Source organism: Homo sapiens, chromosome 17 (assembly GCF_000001405.40).
Source record: "Homo sapiens chromosome 17, GRCh38.p14 Primary Assembly".
In the NCBI taxonomy this organism is placed as follows: Eukaryota; Metazoa; Chordata; class Mammalia; order Primates; family Hominidae; genus Homo; species Homo sapiens.
The window spans coordinates 58,076,663-58,097,250 of NC_000017.11; the positions used below are offsets into that span (position 1 = coordinate 58,076,663).

General features: G+C 47.7%; 1 protein-coding gene and 1 long non-coding RNA gene across 2 annotated transcripts, besides 6 other annotated features; one reads left to right on the top strand and one right to left on the bottom strand.

Annotated features, from left to right (window-relative positions):
• Window positions 1-228: 228 nt before the first annotated feature.
• On the bottom strand, window positions 229-6,542 carry DYNLL2-DT (DYNLL2 divergent transcript). Its single transcript, NR_110809.1, has 3 exons — window positions 6,054-6,542; window positions 2,700-5,954; window positions 229-2,597 (listed from the first exon to the last, which is right to left on the bottom strand). It is a non-coding gene; the product is annotated as a DYNLL2 divergent transcript (long non-coding RNA).
• Window positions 6,486-6,780: an enhancer, noted in NCBI's record as "tiled region #5901; HepG2 Activating DNase unmatched - State 1:Tss, and K562 Activating non-DNase unmatched - State 1:Tss". NCBI's record gives its function as "activates a minimal TATA promoter and a strong SV40 promoter by Sharpr-MPRA in HepG2 and K562 cells {active_cell/tissue: HepG2 | K562}" and the evidence as "EXISTENCE:reporter gene assay evidence [ECO:0000049][PMID:27701403]".
• Window positions 6,486-6,846: a biological region, named in NCBI's record as "Sharpr-MPRA regulatory region 5901".
• Window positions 6,497-6,846: a silencer, noted in NCBI's record as "silent region_8757". NCBI's record gives its function as "represses an Ori minimal core promoter by ATAC-STARR-seq in GM12878 lymphoblastoid cells {active_cell/tissue: GM12878}" and the evidence as "EXISTENCE:reporter gene assay evidence [ECO:0000049][PMID:35858748]".
• On the top strand, window positions 6,757-18,880 carry DYNLL2 (dynein light chain LC8-type 2). Its single transcript, NM_080677.3, has 3 exons — window positions 6,757-7,021; window positions 10,420-10,560; window positions 12,480-18,880. The coding sequence occupies exons 2-3, from the start codon at window positions 10,429-10,431 to the stop codon at window positions 12,615-12,617; spliced, it is 270 nt and encodes an 89-aa protein (NP_542408.1). The 5' UTR covers window positions 6,757-7,021; window positions 10,420-10,428; the 3' UTR covers window positions 12,618-18,880.
• Window positions 6,857-6,916: a silencer, noted in NCBI's record as "silent region_8758". NCBI's record gives its function as "represses an Ori minimal core promoter by ATAC-STARR-seq in GM12878 lymphoblastoid cells {active_cell/tissue: GM12878}" and the evidence as "EXISTENCE:reporter gene assay evidence [ECO:0000049][PMID:35858748]".
• Window positions 6,957-7,376: a silencer, noted in NCBI's record as "silent region_8759". NCBI's record gives its function as "represses an Ori minimal core promoter by ATAC-STARR-seq in GM12878 lymphoblastoid cells {active_cell/tissue: GM12878}" and the evidence as "EXISTENCE:reporter gene assay evidence [ECO:0000049][PMID:35858748]".
• Window positions 7,417-7,546: a silencer, noted in NCBI's record as "silent region_8760". NCBI's record gives its function as "represses an Ori minimal core promoter by ATAC-STARR-seq in GM12878 lymphoblastoid cells {active_cell/tissue: GM12878}" and the evidence as "EXISTENCE:reporter gene assay evidence [ECO:0000049][PMID:35858748]".
• Window positions 18,881-20,588: the final 1,708 nt, after the last annotated feature.

Below are 20,588 nucleotides of genomic sequence, written 5' to 3' on the forward strand. Positions count from 1 at the left end.
CACAAAATCTTGCCCATGAATGTTCCTAGCAATATTATGCATAATAGCTAAAAAGTGGAAACAACCCAAATGTCCATCAACTGGTGGGTAAGCAAAATGTGGTATACCTATATGATGGAATATTACTTGGCCATAAAAAGAATAAAGTACTGATTCATATTATAGCATGGATGAACCTTGAAAATATACTAAGGTAAAATGAGTCAGCCACAATCACAAAAGACCATATATTGTATGATTCCATTTATATGAAATGTCCGGAATAGTCAAATCCACGGAGACAGAAAGTAGACTAGCGGGAATTGGAGGAAATAGGGGAGAGACTGCCAAGGATTTGGGGTTTCTTTGGGGGTGATGAAGTGTTCTAAAATTAGATAACGAGTGATGGTTGCACAGCTCTGTAAATATACTGAAAACCACTGAATTGTGCACATTATAAAGATAAATTTTATGATATGTGAATTATATCTCAATTAAGCTGAGGGGTGTGTGTATGTGTGTGTGTGTGTGTGTGTGTAATATTAAGTTGAAATGTAAGGGGGGGCCCTCCATTTTCCTGGTGAGAAGATCCCAAAAAAGTTTTTGTTTTTGTTTTAGTTTTAGAAAGAGTCTTGCTTTGTCACCCAGGCTAGAATGCAGTGACAGTCTCTGCTCACTGCAACCTCTGCCTCCTGTGTTCAAGCAATTCTCATACCTCAGCCTCCAGAGTAGCTGGCATTGCAGGCATGTGCCATCACACCTGGCTAATTTTTGTATTTTTAGTAGAGACGGGGTTTTGCCATGTTGTCCAGGCTGGTCTCAAACTTCTGCCCTCAAGTGATCTGACCACTTCTGTCTTCCCAATAATTTTTTTTTGTCACCTTGAATAAACTACAACATGCCTGACAAGGCAAAGTTTTTCTTCAAAATTATCCTCAAAAAGGCAGGCAAAATTGCACTAGTCTCATTTGGTAGGGCTCCCCACCCCCATTCCCCACCTCACTGTCAGGGACCAACGGTGAAAGACCATAGTGTACATTTTTATGACAGTGGGGACAAGGATTTCCCTCATATGTAACTCTGCCTCCCTCTCTTGAGGCTCTCAAGAGAGTGGACATCGGCGGCTTCTTACTTCTTATAACCACTGCTGGACTTTCCCCTGTCAGCTCTTCCTTCCTCGATCTCAGAAGGTCTGTCAATCAGGCTTTCTGCCCTCCTCTTTTGTGACCAAAAGGTGGACATATGACTTCACCGGGAATTTGAGTGGAGAGTGGGGAGACTCCAGGAGAACAGTGGATTTGCCTTACTGGGATGCTCTGAGGCAACTGTTCCCTGGCTGCTGCTCCCTGGAGTCAGGGTGGCTACTCCAGGCCTGTTTGTTTTCCTTCAGGTATTTCTTGCACCTAAGAACACTAACTTGGTCTTTTCAGGTATTCAAGGCTAGTCATTTCCATATCATTGTCTTGATTTTCTCTTGATGGCAAAGACAGGGTTTCTCAGGGTTGTCCAGAAAATGAAGGAGGAAAACTTTTAAATTATGAGGAGTCATGACCTGAACACCATGACTTCCACTGGGCATCTTCTCTGTAGTTTCTATTTGGTGATCATTTGCTTTAATATTTTAATTGAAACTCTAAACAATTCATTGAATCTAAACTAGATCAAGTCATGTTGTTTCTTAGGGCAATAAAAAGATGAGCAAAATGATATCCCAACTCTCCAGGAACTCATTTGGTGTGAATTCTGACTGAGTGGATCAGAGAAGGTATCCTTTGTAATGGGGTTATTGAAATAGAGAATCATAGACTTTGGGGCTTCTGGGGACCTTACAGATCAGCCAGTCCTACATCTTTCAGATGAAGAAATCCAGAGTCTGAGAGGTGAAATGACTTGACTAGCAGCTGAATATGGCTTGGGACTTCCTCCTTGACTCTTAGTCCAGAGCTTATCTCACCGGTTCAAGTGGTTGAACTTGGCTGGTTCCTCAGGGAGTCTGGAGACAGGAGGGACAAATTTTTTGTTTTTTTTGAGACGGAGTCTCACTCCGTCGCCCAGGCTGGAGTGCAGTGGTGCAATCTTGGCTCACTGCAACCTCTGCCTCCTGGGTTCAAGTGATTCTCCTGCCTTAGGCTCCCGAGTAGCTGGCATTACAGGTGCCCACCACCATGCCCAGCTAATTTTTGTATTTTTAGTAGAGACAGGGTTTCACCATGTTGACCAGGTTGATCTCGATCTCTTGACCTTGTGATCCGCCTGCCTCAGCCTCCCAAAGTGCTGGGATTACAAGAGTGAACCACCGCTCCCAGCCAAGGAGGGACAATATTTAGGGCTTGGTAAATAGTTGCCCAGGGAAATATGTCTTACAAGGTCACCCAAGAAATCAGCAAAGAATTGAGGTGGATTTCAGCAGTTCTAGTCACATGGGACTTGAGAGGGGAGACTGGCACCAGGGTCTGCATTGCAATGGGAGTGTCAAGGTGTGTCTTTCCCAACCTTCTACAATTTCCTGGAGATCTTGAAGCAGGTCAATGCTAAAGGGCTAGGCAAAACAACTTCTGTCACCTCCACGGTCTCTTTCCTCTAGATGATCCAGTCAGCTGGAGTTGGATTGTCTTTACCTGTAAGGACATTAGTCAAATACCCAGCAGACAGTGTGAGGAGGAAATCAATTGACAAACCAGGGTTGGAGTTTCACTAGGACTAACAATGAATTATTTTACCTGGCAACTTGTTTAGGGCAGGAAGGGCCCAGTGTTAATAGTATACATTGCTGGTTCTTGACAAAGAGAGCCTGGACACTGTTCTTTGGGGTGGAGAAACAGTGTCCTTCCAAGCTGTACTTTTCAGTCATTAATGGGCACAATTAGTTTATAGAATGTTTACAGAGAACTTCCCATGTTTCAGGAACTATGCTAGGTCCTGCAGCCACACATAAGTAAGACGTGATTCTCACCTGAAAGGAACTACAGACAAACATAAGACTGACATATTTAATGGTAAGTGGTCAGTGAAAACTCCTGGATGTTACAGAGCACAGAAGAGGGGTATGCATTCCCTCTGGGGTTCAGGGGCTTGGTAGATGACATCCAAAGGAGTCAGCCAGGAAAAAAGCTCCAAGCCTCACAGGCAAGAGAGCCACATGAGCTCAGGTGTGGAATCTGCATGTAGGGAAACGACAGGCGGTGGATGGTGTTACTAGAGCAGGAAGAACGAGATGGAAAGTGTGGGGACATAAGGCAGAGAAGCAGGTGTGCACGTGTGGAGGTTAAGTTATGGGAAAGGAGTTAGTGTTTATTCTGAGCAGGAAAGAGGGGCGTGCCTGAGGAGATCTGCATTTTAGATAGATCACAGCAGTGTAGATCTAAGGCAGAGGAGCCAAGAATGGAGACAGAGAACCAACTGGAAGAGATGATGAGTGTCTGACGCAGGGGATTCATAATGAGAAGGAAGGCATGGATTGGAAAAATATCCAAGAGATGAGCAGTGATGGAGACATGGTGGGTGAGGGAGAGACACAAATCTAGGGTTTCTGGCTTGTGCCTGGGTGGATAATGGGGCCATAAACTGAGATAGGAAATACAGGGAAGGGGAACAAGTCTGGGACAGAGATGTTGGCGATGGCTAACATTTATTAATCACATATATGAACCAGGCACTGTGCCAGGACTTCTTCATGCATTTTCTCTTAACTCCATGAAGTGGATATGATTCTCAATTTATAGATGAGGAAAATGAAATTTGGAAATGTTGAATAGCTTAGCCAAATCTGCACAGCTGGTAGAGTGGTGGAAAAAGGTCAGAATCCATGCATTCTGGCCCACTGCTTTATATGTGTGTATGCGAAGAGTCTGAAGAGCCTGTGGGGCATCCACAGTGGAGAGGTCCAGGCATTAGGGGGTCATCGGGGCCCAGATCATGGTAAAAACCATGAATGTGGGTGAAATTTCTAAGTTGAGCAGTGAAGGAAGCAAAGAGCCCTGGGGAACCCCGAAGTTAAAGAAGTAGCCAGATGGAAAGGGGTCCACCAAAGAGCCAAAAACAATAGTCTGATTTTGATTTTTAAGTCAGAAGACATGACCATGTTATCTGGGCAACAGGAAACTGGGCAATCACAAACAGTGTAGCTGTATCAAATAAAAACATTCACCAAGTTAAGCTAACATATTAATTATAACAGTGACTATGTTGCATAGTAATTATCCTGAACAGTAAGCATTTTACACAAATAGCAGTAATTAGTATATCACAAGTTTCCCAAACTGTGTCCTGTGGAATAGTAGTTCCTGGAGATGTTAATAAATGTTTGGATTAAAAAAAGGGCTTTGGAGTCAGATAAGTTTAAGGAATACTGGTATAATTTAGATAGAGGGCCAAACTCTGTTTTACACTTTCTCTCCTCTTTTCTCTGTTAGGATGCAGTATAGTATAATGGCTAAGATTGTAGGCAGTGGAAACAATCTGGAGTTGAATCCTGCCGCTGACAAACTGGATAATCTTGGGTCAGTTACTGAACTTCTCTAAACTGTAGTTTGCTCATCTGTACAGGGTGATAGTCATATATGCACTTCAAAAGGCAGCTTCTGGGATTAAATGGAACGCATTGCATTTAAAACACTTAGAATAGAGCCTGACATAGAGCAAGGGATTCATGAGGATTACTTATTATTATTTATAAACCATACTATTAACACATCTCCCTGTTATTCTACAGTTTAGTCCTTGACACACACACACACACACACAAGAGCACTGATATTCACATTTCCTAAAAGTGAAAACCCGTGGCTCTGACTTCTGTTAGTTGAAGTTCTTCGTGCCCTTCTGTCCACCACACCACAGCCTGGAAATGAGCAAGCTCTTATCCCTATTATACTTCAGGGAAGGGGAGCAGGGAGAGGGAGGATTTATGCCCTGGCAGCATGGCCTTTGAAGGGCCACTGCTAGCTCATAGTAACCCTTGGGAACACTTGAAAGAAGTCATCTTCTGGTTGGACACTGGCTTGTACCGTGACACACAGGCTAGCAAGCAGTGTGCCGGCTGTATTTTAGCACCCGCTTGCTCCATCGGTTGGATACTCTTGCGCAGTGAATGACCTGTGCAACCATACGTGGCAGATCTGACCTTCAGGCCCTGGAAGGGCCTGGAAACTAAGGACTGTTGGAGAAAGGGGGTACTAGCTTCGCTTTCTCCAGGCAGTCCAGGCGATTAGCCCCGCACAAGCCCTAAGTGTATAAATCATCCTTCCTCGTCTCCCTCCCTTCCTCCCATAGAGGCCACGCCTCCCATTCATGAACACAAAGACTGACATCAGAAAACCCTTAGTGTGAGGGGATACCCCAGGCCTTAACTGGTCTCTGAAATCCCCCAACTGAGGTTGTTAGAGGACAGAACTGTGGAAAGCAGTAACCAGAGGGAATGATTTTTCCAGGTTTCCCCTGACACATAACGAACACTAACTTTTGATGCTTCAAACCAGAGCAGGCCAGGGCCAGGGCAAGTCTGACTTCCTGACCATGGTTTGGAGAGGCGAAGGGGAAAAGATGGGAGTGGGAGCTATCCCCGGCAGCTTCTTAATCCCTACTGTATGGCCAAAATGCTTGGTTCCCAATAAAGGCTCGTCAGCCCTTGAGGTAGACACTTCTGTATAAAACAGACCAGAAAGAAAACCGCAGGCCTGAGGATCTTTCCTGGGAGTGGGATGGAGTGAGGGCAGGCAGGCTCCCAACGCGCACGTTCACACCCACTCTCCCAGAAGTAGTCTCTTGAGCCTCCAGAGGGGCTGCTTCCTGGGTGCACCTCTTTTCAGCTAGAAGCAAGTCAAGCCTGACCTGCGGGATCTGGCAGGGCTCTCTGTACTTGGATTCTCTCCTTTATAAAGTGAGGGGTGTGGATGGGTGGTTTTTGAAGGCTCCTCACAGCTCTGACAGGCACCACCTCTGGGGGCTTCTATTCACTCTCCTCCAACCTTGTCTACCTGGACAGGCAGGGACAGACGACAAGAAATCGCTCACTCTCACCCCCATCCCAGGACCCCAAGGCCATAAATGTGCAAGGACAGCAGAGGCCTGCGTACCAAAGACACATCCCCATCAATTTTGCTTCGGCTCTGTCTCCATTGCTCCTGTAGACAAATACCGGCTGGGGGCCCAGCTGGGAGTTTAGGTCCTTCAGCCTCAAAGAACAAAGGAGGAAGAAGGGACCTTCCCGGAAGGTGAGGGGAGGGAGTCCTGGGGCTCCTATGCCTCTCCCTCTCCATAGGGCTGGCTGTCCCTCTCTTTCTCACAGATACGGGAGGAGGGAGTGTCCTGTCTTTTCCTCTGAGGCTGGTGACTTCATCTCCTCCCCTCTCTAAGGTTGGGGTCTCTACCTCAGCCCCATCTGTTCCCTGGGTCTGAAATCTCCATCCCCCTCTCCCTTTTTTCTCCTTGGGACTGGGGGTCTCCACACCCTTCCCTCTCCTCCTCTCTCAGGACCATGTCTCTTTATTCCTTTTCAGGCCTGGCCTCTCCAGCCCCGGGGGGAGGGGTCCGCATTCCTCTCCTTTCTTAAGGCCACGGCTCCCTCCCCCACCCGCTCCAGCTCCTCCTCCCCACCCCCTCCCTCCGCCCCGAGGCATTGTGGGAGGAAACAAGATGTGGGGCGAGAGCGGCGCGGGGAGAAGCCCGCAGTGCGGGGCCGGGCGGGCTCAGCCAATGGGGAGCGCGGACGGCGGCGCGCGCGGCGGGGGGGCGGGGGCGGGGCACTATTTCAGCGGGGGCCGCGCGTCGGCCGCGCTCAGCGGCAGAGCGGAGCGGAGCTGTGAGGCGCCAGTGCGGAGCGGGCGGGCGGGCGGGCGGCGTGAGGCGGAGCGCGGGCGGCCGGCGAAACTCCAAGGGCGGACCGCGGCAGGGAGCGATCGGCCTCGGGCTGCGGGAGCCGGAGACCGCGGCGGCGGCGGCTGCTGCAGCTGCAGGAGGAGCCCAGGGAACACCGCCCCTGCCTGTGCTCTGCCTCGGGCCATCGCTCCTCCCCAGGGCCCAGTGCGGACTCGCCTCCGTGAAGGTGAGCGGTGGGTGGGGGCGTCCCCCGGGTGGCGGGCCTGTGTCCGTCGCGTGCGACTCTACACGACCCGGCCCTCGCCGCGGTGGCCCTGCGGCCTCCTTAGCCGGCCCCAAGGCCTGGAACAGGGCTGGCCCCGCAGCCCTTGGCGTTGACGGTCCGGGCAGCGCAGCGCGCCCCCGCCGCCCCTCCCTCTCGGCGCAGCCCGGGCTGCGCCACCCTTTGCCCCGGCCACCCTCGTGGCGCTGCTGGAGGCCCGGGCTGCGGAGCTGCCGCTGCCCCCGCCCCCGGGAGTCTCTCTGCGCTGCGTGGAGGCCCCTGATGTCAGGGGCCGGGGAAGAGGGGGTGGAGAGGGCTCGGGCGTGACGCGGCTCCTCCTGCCGCCACCGCCACCCTCTGGGGCGTCCTTCCTGCAGCGAGGACGCCCAGTCACTCCGGCGCTGTTCCAGGCCGGGTGGGGGAGGGCGGCCGACCGGCCGGGGCCTGCGGACCTGGCCGGCGGCGCGGGCGGGAGGTCGGGGGGAAGGAGGATGCTTCCTCGTTCCCCAGGTGCTGCCCTTCGGGACCGCAGCGCTCTGGAGGATGGGATAGTGGAGGGATACGGCCCACTTGGAGAGCCCGAAGAGGGAAGTAGAAGTGTGTGTGTATTGGCGGGTGGGGATGGTGGTCCGTGTCATTCGGAGATTTAGCCTTTTTTTTTGGTTGCAAAACCAGGAATAGAGGATGGGAGCTGTCCTGGGGTGCCCTTTGTGCTTTTCACAGGAGCCTTGGCTCGTGACTGAGGCTGCTGGCCTGGGGCCCTCTGGCCATCTTCCTCCTATCTGGAGGCCCAGGTCCCTTGCTTTTTCCCAAGGAGGGAGGGGCTAGGCTGGACACCTTCCTGTGCTTTGCTTACCGGCACCTTGGACAGGGGTGGTAGGGGTTGGGCTTCACCTCTCTCAGATGCCTGGGGGGCCATTGTAGTCGTAAGACCAATATTATGTAACCGCAGGCTCTTTCCTGGAGAGTAAGGTGGCTTTTAATTACTGTAACAAAGTTGCTCCTTTGGACTTTGGGAATGAGGCAGTGGAGCAGGTGAGCTTGCAGGCAAAATGGTGCCAATTTCATACTTTCACTTTGCTGTCTAACCAGGCCCCACCCCCACCCCTGGGTTTGTAAACAGTGCCCCCTTCTGAGTGGTAACCTGGAATAGGCCACCAGGTGACACTAGTTTTTCTTCACTTATACAGAGCCTTATAATGTAAGAACCTTTCTCCCTGTGCTGCTGTTGTACCTTTGCTCAGACCCATTTGAGTTTACCCCATTTATCTCATTTCAACCATTAGTATTTAAAATGAAGATGTTGATTTGCCCAAGGTCACGTAACTAGTCATTCCTTGAACAGGGTTCTCCGAATCTTTCCTCAGCACCACATGGTGCTCACAGACTCCAGTTGAGGCTCTGACTTTTCCTCTCCAGAATGTGGGGGCAGAGGGTGCTGGTCTACTACCTCTTTGCTCTGCCAGTTTCTGCCGAAGTGGAACCAGCCCTGCTTAGTTTGGCAGTGCTATCTAGATGAAGGGGCCTTGGATGCGGTCAAGGGCTGCCTGGCTGGCAGCTGGCATGTGTGCATTCTCTGCATGTGGTGCAGGCTGAAATGGTGGTGGTGAGTTCTGTTTTCCCTTTCAGCCATCTAGCCCACAGGCTATTGTGAACTCCGAGATCAAGGTGGCCTGGAATGATACCAAGGATATGTCCTTGAGCAGGCAGCCTCCTGTGTAGCCTTCCATCAGATAGAGCTGGAATGACAGCATCTCTTGTCCATTGGGCTGGGCCACAGAGGGGTGCTTTTAGGGGTGGGATGATGGGGGAGATAGTTACTGCTCCATGTGTTGGGACTGTGGTCAAGGACAAAGGGCTCATCCCCTCTGTTCCTGCATAGTACCTCACATGTTGCCACCTGTCAGGCACGTCCTGAGATTCCGCTCGTCCCAAGAAGGGTCCATGCAGGGTCTGCCTGGAACCTGTGGTTGCTATGGCATGAATGGCATGGCCTTGATAGCAGGGATATGAAACAAGGCTATTAAAATCTTTACCTTTCTTAGGCACCTTTTTAAAATGCTTTATCTCCAGGTTTTTCCCAAGCCTCTGTTTTTTTAGGGGAAGGAAGGCTTCAGCATTCCTTTGAGGAAAATAAGATATTGTCTCCTAACATAATACCTTTCACATCACCTAATAGGTCAGTACTTTTTGAATGAATGAATAAGTTTGACATGAGGAAGCAACGCACCAAAGAGATGAGAAATCAGTGTTGAAGCTGGGTCCAAAATCTAGGGCTTTCAAAAATTATATTGGGCTTTAAAGAATGAACATTGTACTGAGGAGAGTGGGGAAGCAGAGGGGAGGATGGGACAGAGAGAGACATGTCCTGTGTGACCGACCAGCCAAGTCTGAGGTTGCCTTCCCACCCTCTCTACCTCTTACGGGCATCTCAGCCTGGAGTACTTGAGAGAAGGCATAATTATCATTATCTCTGCCCCACTGGACATTGGTGGCCTGGAATAGGGCCTGTATAGGGCAGGGGTTGGCAGCATTTTTCTGTGAAGGGCCAGATAGGAAATATTTTTGGCTTTGCAGGCCAAATAGTTTCTTGGAAGTACTCAACTCTGCTATCGTAGCATGTTCCTGCAACACTTTATTTTACAAAAACAGGTGGTAGGCTGGATCTGGCTGATGGACAGTCCCTTGTAGACTGTCCTTGTGTGCAGATGCTCTCATATAACTTCAGTTAATCTTTACAACAACTCGCGATAGAGAGCTATCCTCACCTGCTAAAATGAAAATAATCAAATGTAGGAAGGCCAAGTGACTTGTCTAAGACCACGAGAGATAAACTCAGGACCAGGAGTCAGGCCTACTGAGTCCTAGTCCAGCTTCTTTCTGCTATGATGCCAATGATGTAATGAATGGTCATTAAATCAGGGACTTAATTCTGTTCAAATGTTAGGACACCTGGTTTATTCTCAGGACAACCCTTAGTCCCCATTTTACAGATAATGACATAAAAACACAAGGATTAAGTAACTTGCCCAACGACACAGCTAGTAGATGTACACTGTAATATAATCTTGACTATTGGTGCTCTTCAGAATATCGGAAGTAAATTTTAGAGTTGGAAAATCTCATTTTACTTATGATAAAAACTGATGAGTTATTATGTCCTATTGGCCCTGTATTTCCCAGGGTGGGAACAATGTCTCTGCCAAAGCTTAGGGGCTCCCTCTCCTAATGCTTCACATCCGTGTTTTCTGTTGCCCTCACCTTCTATACTCCCCTCTTGCACTGAGACCCCACACCCAGCAGCTAATGTTCACTGCCCAGAGCAAGGAGTTGTCAGCCTTACCTCTCTGCTCCTTCTGTAGTGTCACACCATGTCTGACCGGAAGGCAGTGATCAAGAACGCAGACATGTCTGAGGACATGCAACAGGATGCCGTTGACTGCGCCACGCAGGCCATGGAGAAGTACAATATAGAGAAGGACATTGCTGCCTATATCAAGAAGGTGTGCTGGGAGAGCTGGGACTGATGGCCAGGGGTGGGGATCGACAGCTGAGCTAACCTCCAGGGAGATCTGGAGCTGGGGACATAAGAAAGCCCGTATATCCTGTGCAAGCAAAACCCTAGGAACTTGCAAAGCAGACAAACTAGCGAGTGATTCCGAATTGCCCAAGCATTCACCTTAGGAGTTGTTAATAGCTCTGCCAGGTGTGTGTGTGTGTGTGTGTGTATGTTTACTTTTACAGGTAATTATGCTACTGCAAGGCATTGGGGAAGGATAAGATTATGCAGAGAAACTTCAGAATTAAATATTTCTGGCCCAGTTCAGAACTATTCAAAATTAAAATCTAGGATATTTGAAAGAATAAGATGTACAAATTTTCAGGGAACTACATCATTTAAAGTGGATATGCCTGTAATAATCCTCATCATGTAGGAGGTTTCCTTTTCTTTTCCTTAAAAAGGACTCAGGTACTACATCACCCCTTTCTGTCTACATTCTTAAGAAAAGGGTGGGCTCAAATATATAATTTTTAAGAAATGGATGAGCAATAATGGGGCCATAGGTTTGGTCCCTGAAAAATTCCTGAGTGAATTTGTCACTGGATATGGTTAACATGGTGAGGAAGCAGCTGTGCCAAAAGTAAGAAAAGGGGTACTGGGACCCCCTGATTCCCAGTCAGGATCCATATCCATTGGAGGCATAGTCCCAGCATTTGATATTCTCAGCTCTGGCATCCCAAGAACATGTGTAAGAATGGTGGCAGTCTGGTCCATTGAAGTGGAAGTGGTAGGGTCTCTGAGTTTTACAGAACTGTGTTTTCCTACCCAAATGGGTGGAATGAAAAGAAGAACTCCTGGAGTCCTGAGGGACTTTTTTGGGTGTGAGCCAAGGGTGGCAGAGCTATTTGGGAGCCCACCTTCTCGCTGTCCTGTACTCTGAGAGCCAGAAGAATCCCCAGATTTTCTGGTCTGCGCTCTTTTTTTGCTGATGGAGAAATGAGAACCAGGGAAGTGACTGGCTCTCCTGTATTACACATAGTCTTGAGCCGAGATTGAAGCTGGGTTTAGTATTTACTCCTAGTACTTGGAGAGTTGTGTGGTATCGGGGCTGTGAAGAGGCCAGAGAAGTTGTATGTTGAGCATATTGAGGGATAGAACCCCAGAGTTGGCAGCGTTGGTGGGCCCATGGTGGAGGGCTGCTGCCCTTTCATGGCCATGGCAGGATGCTTCTAGAACTGAGTCTGCAGGCTGAGCCACAAGGTAGTAGGGAGCTGATTAGCTCTAAAGATTTCCTGTGGTTTTGATGCTGAACTTGTGCCCCTTAGGGAATTGCCTTGATCTCATGGTGGAGGTCCTTGTTCTGGTACATACAGCCCACACAGTGCATGGCACACGGGAATGCCTTTAATGTTGTCTTATATAGTAGTGCCTCCTGGTACTCCCGATGTTTGGTCTTGTTTTGCTCTAATGCCTTGGTGTTTAGCATTTGGAAATGCTGGTTAATTATGTGTGAGGCAGCGGGTGGTGGCTCCCCATTTGTGTCATGTGTTTGACAAATGGTCCTTTATTCCACTGGCCTCTTGATTCCCTTGCTGAAGAATCCCAGGGTGGGCTAGGGGTGGCGTGAGGGGGTGGGGTAGCTAGAGGGAGGAGAGATGATCAGGGTGTAGAGTGCTGGAGGCTCAGGGGAGACGAATAATGGAGGCTTTGTGGTGTTCCATTATTAATGAGGGGAAGAGTGTCCTGGCCAGCTTTAAAACCTGAGCTTTTGAGGTTCGGGGAGCTGAGGCTGAGGGATGGGGTGGGGGTGATAACAACCAAACGTGTCGGTGCTGGAGTTGCAGGGAGAGACTCCCATTCTGATTTCTCCTTCTCCAGCTACCCTAATTACCTTTCTTCTCTACCTTTGTTCTTTTTTAGGAATTTGACAAGAAATATAACCCTACCTGGCATTGTATCGTGGGCCGAAATTTTGGCAGCTACGTCACACACGAGACAAAGCACTTCATCTATTTTTACTTGGGTCAAGTTGCAATCCTCCTCTTCAAGTCAGGCTAGGTGGCCATGGTGAAGGTGTCAGTGGCGGCGGCAGCGATGGCAAGCAGGCGGCGTTGCTGGGACTGTTTTGCACTGGAGCCAGCATCAGGATGTCCTCTCCAATGGCTGTGCTACTGCATGGACTGTATACTCGATTTCATGTGTATGTCGCAGTAAACAAAACCAAACCTCTTTCTGTTTAGTTGCCTGGGGGAAGAAGGCTGCTTTATGTTTATTTTTCAAGACTTTAAAAATATTTTTTGGTTGTATTGCACTAGGAAATCTCTCCCACCTCTCCCTTTTCTCTTTCTTTCCCTATACAAAATAAAAGGCCCACCATAGAGACTAGGCGGCCGAAAGACTAGGAGGGCTGAGGAAAAGAAATAGGTCTCTGGAGGTGGAACTAAAACTGTGCAGCTGCCTCTTCCTGGCGGTGGATGCTGCTTTGGGAGGGCCAGGGAGGCTGCAGGGGGACAGTGTTGGGATTGTCAAGGAAAAAGGGGTAGGAAGGAAGGTGGAGGGATTGATCTAGTACCAGGGAGAATATTCCACTGAACTGTGATTCTATGGCTTGGGGCGGAGGGTGGGGTGGGGATGCCTTCTTTAGGGGCCCTGAGATGTGTTTGTCTGTGGTGTGTGGGAGTGGGGAGCAGATTTGTCTTGCTGTCTTTGTCAGAATTTCTAAGTAAGGGCTGTGTCTTTGTGGATTACCTTCTTTTGTTCTTCCTGCCAGAGATCATGACAGGAGGATGCTGGGGTAGGATTAGCTTGAATCTTTTTTTTCTTTACATTTTTCTCCTGTCTGCTCCCTGCTTAGCCCTCAGTTTCCTCATTCCTCTGGAGTTCTCTTAGAGCAGCCCCTGTTGTTAGTTGGCTGGCAAGGGAATTTCTGGTGACTGTAGTTCCTTAGTTAGGTCTTAGCAATCAAACCAAATTGATGTCTCCCTTGACTCTTCTGTGTATATGTGTGAATATGTGTGTATATGTGTGTGTATGTGTGTGTGGGGTTTGGGGTAGAAGGGAGGGAGGGGGCAGGACAGTGTGGAATCTCTAGGGTGTATGGGTAGGTAGGGGGCACAGTTAGTTCTAAGTGGGCTTTTATGCTAAAAGCCTCTGGGGATATCTGTTTTGAAAATAAAGATAGGTGTCCCCTCCTTGCTGTCATCTAGCCCAGACACTCTGCTTGCTCTCTGGCTGTCTGCTCCCTGGGAAGGCTTTAGGAGGACCACCCAGGACAGGATGACCATGCTGCCATCTGCTCTGGAGCTGGGTCTCAGTGCAGAGGGACAGTGACTGTGGATGGTTGCAGTCTCTGGTGGGAGGTGAGGATAGAAGTGATAAAGAGCTAAGAGGAGCTTCTGGGAGCCTTGGAGGAGGTCAGTCTTGCAGTGGTGAAGCCAGGACATAGGAGATGGAGCAGGGCTGTGAGAGGAGGAGATTCTGAGGAGGATGCAGGGGAAATCTTGTCTGTTAATGAAATAGGAGTGGGGTGGGGTTTGGGGTGGGGTGGTCATTGCCGTTTGAGCTGCTGATTTTCATGAGTCGCCTTCAAAACTCTCGTGTAGGGTTGACAATGTGGGGGGGTGGGGGATCCAGCTTATTCTTTTATTTTCAAGTCCATTCTTGGGGCTGGTGGGGAGGCAGGAGAATACCCCTCCCTAAGCCCTTAGTGTGTGCCGAGCTTGCTTTGTGATGTTGGCAGGGGAGGGGAGACCTGGGTGGTGACTGAGTTCCCTTTATCAAACCCTTCAGTGGGCACAAAATTGAGTGCTTGATTTTAGGTTTTATTTTTTTATGAATGTCCAAATCTGTGTTTCCCCCTGCCCTCCCAGACTGTGTGGCCAGTTGAAAGTGTCTGGTTTGTGTTCATCTCTCCCTCATTTCTGGAGCAGGGCCTGAGACCCTGCCACATCTCCTATGCTCTGCATCCACGCCTCTTTTGGACATTAAAGGTTGATTGATGCACCTCTGCACTGTTTGGGTCTCTTTGGGGATGAGGGGTTGGCATGGTGGCAGTGGTGCCACACAGTGGGTGAGGGTGGAGAGTCTCCAGGGTGGAATAGAATGGGGACTGAAGGGAAGACCAGCCACTAGATACTGATTGGCCTGTAGCAGCACTTATTTGTGCCTAGGCTTATGCCCCTTAAGTAGAGGAAAACTAACCAGCAGCACTCACCCTTAAGGGCTCCTGGGTTCTGCCTTCCTTGGTGGTGATGGCCAGGTGAATCATATTTTGTGTCTTTGGGATAGTAACTGCTACCTTCCCAGCTGCCGTCATGGACCTGCCTGAGCTTTGCTGCTTCAACTTTTGCCCAAAGCTCTTATCTTTCATACTCCTCCCTTCTCGGCTTTCCTGAACCTGGAGACTATTTAGCAAAGGGTCTGGCCACTCAGAAATGGAAAGCTGGGGATATTTAGAAAGATGGCACCTCTTTTGGTGGAACCTAAGTGATTCTCTGAATCCTCTGTTGCCCAGACACACAACTCGAGAAATCAGCAGTGCCAAGACTTCTGAGAGTGTCTGCCCACCCCTGACTCCACCATCGTGTGACTGCAATTCTCTTGGAGGTGTTAGGGAGCCAGAGGTGCTTTGCCCTCTTTGTGTTACTATTTCTTTACTCAAAAATATTTAAGAGTTCTTGTATGCTTGGGCCTAGGATGCTGTTCACAGAGGAGAATGAGACAAGTAAGTTCTAGGCTTCTATGACATACACATTCTTATGTGTAGAGCAGACATACACACACTGATCAACTTTTTCCAATAGTGATAAATGTGTTATCAAGGAAATGAACTGGGCAATGAGCTATTGAGTGTTGGAGGTAGGTAGATAGGGTTCCTCCAGTTAGGAAGGTGGTTGGCTGATCTTGGGGAGAAGTTCTACCTCTGGGGCAGTGAGGTCCTAAGGGATTAAGTTGAGAGACTCTAGAGCCCCAACTTCTGTTACTGCTTTAGCTGTCGTGAGTAATTTGACAGAGCTGGAGCTTTGGGAGGGAGAGTGAGGCCACAGTTCACATTTCATCAGGGATGAGTGTCTCCAGGGCCAAAGCTCATCTACTTTCTTCCCTGATGAAAGAGGCAGTCCAGGTGGCATCTGTGAACAACACATTCCTGCACAGGTAGGTGCACAGTGCTCATCTGGAAGACTAATCCTGCAGGGCTTCCTGGAGGAGATGAGCCTCCACTTTTCGGGGCCCAGGATGGGAAAGTATGTGAGCATGTGTCACTGAAGGGACTGTGGAAAGCAGATGGAAATTGTGGAATTCTCTCGGAACAATGCAGCCATTATTAGAACTGTGCCCATAGGAGCATCAATATCCCTGCTCCTTGTATCCTGTTCTCCAGTCTTCTGGGGACCCCCTTTGACTGAACCCAACCAAATGGCAGATGACAAGGCAGACCCAGGATGCAGTCTGTAGGGTTCAGTCCCCCTCCCCACTGGGAACAGCAGGAAAGGGCAAGGTGGTGACAATCTAAGGGAGGCAAATGGATAATAACCAGCATGGTAGGGAATCTTCTTTGTTGCTGTGGCACTGTCGATCTCTGTTCCCTGAACTCTAGTGTCCTCCAGACTAGATTTAAGGTGTGGTTCCCCGCTAAATTATTCTCTCACCTCCTTTCAGTCTTTGCTCAAACATCCTTTTATCAGAGAGGCTTTCTGACATCCTGTGCAAGATAGCACCTCTCCCCCATCGCTGTTATCCTTACCCAGTTTAATTCCACGTAGCATCTGCCAACGCTTGACATATTTGTTTTTTGTTTACTTTCTGGCCTGTGACAACTAGAATATAAGCTCTGTGAGAGCATTTTTCTCTTAACTGCTTATCTTCAAGTAAACAGAACAGTGCCTGTCCTGTAGGAAGTGTTTGATACATACAGATTGCTCAAATGAAAAAAGAAGGGTGCGAGCAAGCCTGGACAGGCCTGGTGCCCCAGGGCAGCCTTGCCTTTTCTGAAGAGAATGGCTGCCTTAGGCACGGCTCTCCTTGCTGCCCAAGCCTTGCCACCTTGAAAGGCGTGAGAGGGTCACTCCCAGGTGTATTCAAGCAAGAGTGCCTGAGCCACTCTTGCTTGGCAGTATGGGAGGATGAAATAGTGTGTTCATAAAGTGCATTTTATTTTTAAAGCATTTCAGTTTATGTTGCTGAAACCTGAGAGCGCCCCCCTGAGCTAGACTCAGTAATCATTAGACACATTTTTGGATAAGCAAACTGAATCAGAGAAGGTGAGTGGCAAAGCCCATGTAGCTGGTGGCATTACTAGAACTTAGCACTGTGATGCACAAAGGCTTAACTGGGTTTGGCAGCAAGGGTCTCATGGATACTCTTTAAGATGTAGGCCCAGATCTCTTAGTAGTGAATCCCTGATGTTCCCTCTCTTGGGGCTCTGGTTTAGCAAGGACAGCGAGGATACTTTCCTCTCTCCCTCCTCCTTACTCCTCTCTACTAAGGATTAAGGAGCCACCTCTTCCTCCTTAAGGCCTTTGGGAGAGATGGGTCTCCTGGTATTAGAAAGGAGAGCAGACGCCTAGAGTTCTGACCTCTTGGGCCTCCCCTAAACAAAAAGCATAGCCCCTTCACTACCCTAGTAACAAGTATGACCTGTTGCCTGTTGAGGTCAGGTGTACCTGTGTGTCTCTCTCTGTGATGTATGTGGGCTTGGTGTCCACATCAATGTGCGTGAATACTCCTACCCACAGACTGCTACTGTGCCAATATAGAGGTTCATAAGAAAGATAAAAGAGAACCAGCAGAACCCCAGGTTCTGCCTCTCCTTCCTCCCTTTGCCCAGATAAAGGTGTACAGTGTTTGTGGTGAGGCTGCTGGACACTGCTGTTTTGGGCTTTCTAGAGAGAATGCAAACATGCAAAAACAGTGTGGTAGTGTAGGCAGAACAAGATCTAGAATCAGAAGACCTGGAGTCGAATCTCAGCTCCAACACCCACTGGATGAACGTGGACAAGCTGCTTGATCTCTCAGATCCTCGATTTCTTCATCTGTAAGATGGAAACAATATGTGTCTTTTCTAAGGGGAAAGATCAAATGACATCATGTATGTGAAAATGCTTAGAAATGGGTGATGATGATGATGATGATACTGATTATTAGGGTATCTAATAAAGTTGGGGAAAGAACAAAATCCCCCCCTCACACCCTATTGCACCACCAGCCTTCTCCCTCCCTGCTCAATTATACCCATGTTATAGGGAAGGAAATAGGGAAGAAACTTGTCTAAGGTCACATGGATGTTCGCAACAATTGGGATGCAGAACTTGATCTGACTCCCAGGCCAGGTTTGATTTTGATTTGCAGTGGCAGAGAGGACTAATTTTTTACTAGGTTCTGAGCCCTGTACTGAACTCTGGATTGCCCTGTACTTGGTGGTGGTATACAGTTCAGCAGTTTTTAGCATATACACGAATTTGTGCAGCCATAACCACTATCTAATTCTAGAACATTTTTATCACCCCCAAAAGAAATCATGTACCCATTTGCAGTCACTTGCCATTCCCTCTTCTCCCCAGCCCTGGGAAACCACTGACCTACCTTATATCTCTATGAATTTGCCTAATCTGGACATTTCATATAAATGCAATTGTACATGTGGCCTTTTGTTTCTGGCTTCTTTCACTTAGCATGTTTTCAAGGTTCATTTGTGCTGTAGCATTTATCAGTACTTTGTTCCTTTTTCTAGCTGAGTAACGTGTGGGTATATCACATTTTGTTTATTCATCTGTTGAGGGATGTTTGGGTTGTTTCTACTTTTTGACTATTGTGATTAGTGCTGCTATGAACATTGATGTACAGATTTTTGTGTAGATATGTTTTCAATTATCTTGGGGCATCTTTTATTTTTAATGTCAGTTTTCTATTTTTAAAAAATCTAGACAGGTTGGCAAATCATTTCTGTAAAGAGTCAGTAAATATTTTAGCCTTTGTGGTCCATGACATTAGGTATACAGATTACAATTTCTGAACTCTGCCATTCCAGTGTGAGAGCAGCCATAGATAATATGTAAACAAATGAGCATGGCTATGTTCCAATAAAACTTTTAAAAAGCAGGGGACAGATTGGGCCTGTGGACCATAGTATACCAACCCTTAATCTAAATGACACATTCACATGATACATTATTCTAAAGGCACAAAAAGCAAAAATTCTCCCTCCCACCTCTGTCTTCCAGCTACGGGGTTACCTTCCTTGAAGCAGTTAATGTTATGAGATTTTGTGTCTCCTTTTAGACACAGTTAATAATGAGCATTAAAGTGGCTATATACTATTCCAATGTGTTGCAGATAGTTTAGTCAACACAAAAGAACGGACATATCTGAGGGTACACCCTAAAAGTCCTTGAGGAACAGAACCCTAAAAGAGAGAACACCTGCCTAATCTGACTCCTCCATCAGAATAATCTTTTGAACTCCTGAGATTTGCCCAGTCATTTTGGGGCCATGTCTGATGAAAGCTTGGTGATCCCTTTTGGGTCAAAAACAAGCTCTGACTGAAGAGATGCAAGATTTTCTCAGATGATTTGTGTGTCAGTCAGAGTTCCGCCAGAGAAACACAACCAGTAGGATATATTCTATCTTGTCTGTCTTCATATCCATGTATCTGTCATCTACCTAGATTTAATGCAAGGAATTGGTTTATGCAGTTGTAGGGGCTGGCTAGGCAAATCCAAAATCCACAGGGCAGGCCGTGTGGAAGGGAGGTCTGGAAACTCTCAGACAAGACCTGACATTGCAGTCCACTGGTGGAATTTCTCCTTCTTCAGGGAAACCTCAGCTTTCAACGGAGTGGATCAGACCCAACCATATTATCCAGGATAATCTCCTTTACATAAAGTTAACTGATTGTAGATGTAAATTACATTTACAAGATACCTTCATAGCAACACCTAGGTCAGTTTTTGAATAACTGGGTATTATAGCATAGCCAGGTCAACACGTAAAATTGATCACCACAGTCCATGTCTTGTTAACTTGGCACCTGTACACATTTCCTTAAACCATTTAATCTCCCAATAAAGACAATAACAAAGTAAAACTTCTGCCTATCATGACACAGCTAATCTGTGTACAACTGAAAATATGCTCTTTTCCTGGGAGAGAATTCACAGTCCTTGACTGGTGTTCACTTTTATCCTTGATAATCCAGTAACTTTAATAATATTATGTAAATGTAGCTATTTTAATAAATTTTATGTTAGATGACAAGGGGATAAGAGAGGGAAGAAAAAATACATAAACACAAACATTCATAACAAAACAATGAATACTCATAATAATTATAGTACTAACTTCTGCAACTGTTCACATGATGTGTTTTATAACTACCGGTGTTACAAAATTACTGGTTATAGCTGGTATGTGTAACTACTTTCCTTCACGACTTATTCCATATTTTCTTTGCCTTCCTCATGAAACTCAGAGCTGGTTGTGGTTCTTTGCCTGGTGGGAGGGCCCCAAACTTTCATTCCTGAAGGGTCTGGGAAATTAGAAGTCTTACCTGCATTGGTTTATTATAGTTTTCCACTGGTTTTAATCACCATAGGGCATGGTAGTACTACGAGATGACCTAAGGGATCTCTCGTATTCCAGACATAACTTTTCTTCCTTTCATTGTTTAGTAGCAGCCTAATTTCCCTTTGGTAGTCAGGAGGAATCACCCTAGCCAGTGGAGTAATTCTTCATTGCAAAATGACCCATGGCAGTCTTAACTTCCAGTTCAGTGAAATAATTGTGACTCCTGGTGAAAGCATTCCTCCCTTTGGAATGAAGACCTCCAGATCAGCAAAGCATAAAGCCACAGGGATGGGAAGCAAAGATTTACCAGTGGACCACTAGGGGTAATAGTGAGTTGTGGGTGCCGTTTCATTTCTGCTACTGATCCCTGGAACCATGAATCCTAGCTATGCGACAAATAGTACCATATGTGGGATGCTGAGTTGGAGTATATATGGTCTCCTGAAGGACATTGTCTCAACCCTGCAA

What these genes read in the sequence shown, in the direction of transcription:
- DYNLL2 (NM_080677.3), top strand. Translation starts at nt 10,429, where the DNA reads ATGTCTGACCGGAAGGCAGTGATCAAGAACGCAGACATGTCTGAGGAC. An exon ending in TTGCTGCCTATATCAAGAAG is followed by an intron (nt 10,561 to 12,479) that starts GTGTGCTGGGAG and finishes GTTCTTTTTTAG; the next exon opens with GAATTTGACAAGAAATATAA.